The 3012-nt window shown below is 42.2% G+C and overlaps 1 annotated feature.

Annotated features, from left to right (window-relative positions):
- Positions 411–470: a silencer, noted in NCBI's record as "silent region_4670". NCBI's record gives its function as "represses an Ori minimal core promoter by ATAC-STARR-seq in GM12878 lymphoblastoid cells {active_cell/tissue: GM12878}" and the evidence as "EXISTENCE:reporter gene assay evidence [ECO:0000049][PMID:35858748]".

The following is a 3012-nucleotide window of genomic DNA, read 5'->3' on the forward strand; positions in this document are numbered from 1 at the left end:
CTATTGATTGTATGTAGGTTGGGGATGCTCAGGGAATGTGTAGGTAGGCGGACACCAAGAAAGTCTCTCTGCAAACATATTTGTCCTGAGATCTGAAAGATACATAAGGAATTAACAGAGGCAAAGTAGGGGTGGAGCTGGCCAACATATGTCAAGGGACTGAAACAGGAAGGCTTTCGTGCATTTGAGGAACTAAAAGAAGGCTGTGGGCCGGGTGCGGTGGCTCATGCCTGTAATCCCAGCACTTTGGGAGGCCTACGTGGGCGGATCACGAGGTCAGGAGATCGAGACCATACTGGCCAACATGGTGAAACCCTGTCTCTACTAAAAATACAAAAATTAGCTGGGCATGGTGGCGCGTGCCTGTAATCCCAGCCACTCGGGAGCCTGAGGCAGAATTGCTTGAACCTGGGAGGCAGAGGTTACAGTGAGCCGATATGCACCACTGCACTCCAGCCTGGCAACAGAGAGAGACTCTGTTTTAAAAGAAAAAAAAAAAAAAAAAAGGCTGTGGCTGGAACAGATAGACCTAGCAGGGAAGAAGTATAAGATGTGGTTGAAATGGATGGTAAGGGCCATATTAAGAATTTGGTTTTTATCCTAGGATAATGGGAAACCATTTGTTTGTTTCCTTCATGGCACTAAAACAACTAAAAAGCGTTTCATTTATTTGTCTGTTTACTTTTTTGGGGGGAAGGGTGGGGAGTCCCCTTCCTTAGGGGCAGAGACCATATCTGTCTTGAGCATCATTGTATTCCCAGCACCTACACAGTGGAGAAGTGTAAATATTTTGAATAAATTAATAGCAAGTAATTTTGGAAGGGCCATGACCAAAGTCCAATTCTCCTCCAAAACCTATGCTTCTTTCAGGATGCTTATTACTACCTTAACAGTTTGCTTTGGGTCTATCTGCTTATAAAAATGGTACATGCTGGATGTCTCTCTCAACACTTTTGCTATTCTTAACATTGCAGGTGGCTGGACGCGGTGGCTCATGCCTGTAATCCCAGCGCTTTGAGAGGCAGAGGCGGGCAGGTCACCTGAGGTCAGGAGTTTGAGACCAGCCTGACCAACATGGGGAAACCCCATCACTAATAAAAATACAAAAAAAATTATCCAGGCATGGTGGCACGTGCCTGTAATTCTAGCTACTTGGGAGGCTGAGGCAGGAGAATCGCTTGAACCTGGGAGGTGGAGGTTGCAGTGAGCCGAGATTGCACCATTGCACTCCAGCCTGGGCAACAAGAGCAAAACTGCGCCTCAAAAACAAAAACAAAACCAAAAAACATTGCAGGTTAGCCTCTGAAGTATTGGTTACTTTTCCAAGTTTTGAGAATTACTAACAGTTAGTGACAGCCTTCCATGATAGTAGACAGCCGTCATTGCTGGTTATTGGTGACAGATTGTGCAAGTGGAGGAAGGAGATGATTGTTGTCTGTTCATGTGCCCTGACATTCTGTTCCTGAAGAACTAACACATGCAGTGATGAACAGCTTTCCCACCAACAATTTTCAACAAGTCTCAGAGAAATCTTAGTAACACTTCGAGTCTTATTAAATTTTCCCTCAGGCAGTGGCGCACCTAGTGGATTTGACACCTGGAGCAGATCAGTTTCTAACACCTTCACGTTGTATAAAGCAAGGTTATTTTTAGTAATAGTCATGTAATAATCAGGAATGTTACTTTTTTCTTGAGTTTTTCTTTAGTTTTGAAATAAATAACAATGTTAAAAGAGGAATAAATTTCAGTTTTGGAAACATTATTTTAAATTAAATAGTCTATGTCATGCATTGAACTAAAATTTGCACTTACCAAACAAAAATATCACACTTTGCATTTTGCACTCTTTATCACTATTTTGAATTTTTTTTTTTTTTTTTTGTAACAGAGTCTTGCTCTGTCGCCCAGGCTGGAGTGCAGTACTGTGATCTCAGCTCACTGCAACCTCCGCCTCCCAGGTTCAAGCGATTCTCCTGCCTCAGCCTCCTGAGTAGCTGGGATTACAGGTGCCCACCACCACACCTGGCTAATTTTTTTTTTTTTTTTTTTTTTTTTAGTAGAGACGGGGTTTCACCGTGTTGGCCAGTCTGGTTTCGAATTCCTGACTTCAAGTGATCTGCCCGCCTCAGACTCCCAAAGTTCTGGGACTACAGGCATGAGCCACTGCACCCGGTTTGAATTTTAGATAGAAGTAAAAAATTCAGAGTGGTCACAGAGAATGTCAGAATTGAAGTCAGTCAGGTCTGGTTTCATTATTTTTAAATTCTTTATACTATGTTTGTTTCAAATCTACTTTTTTAAATGAGGAATATGTAGTAACACAGGGGTTGAGGATTCTTAATTGCCTCTGAAATAAGCTCAAATGATTCTGAGCTGTTAGGAAAGTACTCTCACAAGGCTCTTTGTAGCTGATTCTATGTGGGGTAGGGAGTGTTGGGTGGGTCGGGGGCTGTAGGTGCAGGGTTGGGGTGGGGCATGTGGAGATGGGCAGCAGCTGTGAGTTGCTCTGGATTAACTTTCATATAAAATACAATGCTATGAAAGGATAAGAATAAGTATGCTAATTTGAAACTGATATACATTTAAACTTCACAGTACCCACAGCAATTGTTTAAAACTTAAACAAACAAAATATTTTTTGGGTAAAAAGTATTTTATCACTGACACTGTTTAGAATTGCTGATAGGTGATCATAAAAAACAGACCAACTTTTTGAATTTATTATTCAAATTATTATTCTCATTAAATCCTCTGTACAGAAAATGTACTCTTTTACTGCCTCAGGAAGACTGCCCTACTGTGAGGCCGTTGGTATGCCACTACCCCCAAAGACTATAAACAGTTAAAACATATGCCAGGTTTGGTGGCTCACACCTATAATCCCAGCACTTTTGGAGGCCGAGGCAGGAGGATCGCTTGAGGCCAGGAGTTCAAGACCAGCCTGGGCAACATAGCGGGACCCTGTCTCTAAAAATTTTTAAAAATTAACCAGGTGTCATGGCGTGTGCCTGT

This window comes from Homo sapiens, chromosome 12 (assembly GCF_000001405.40).
Source record: "Homo sapiens chromosome 12, GRCh38.p14 Primary Assembly".
In the NCBI taxonomy this organism is placed as follows: domain Eukaryota; kingdom Metazoa; phylum Chordata; class Mammalia; order Primates; family Hominidae; genus Homo; species Homo sapiens.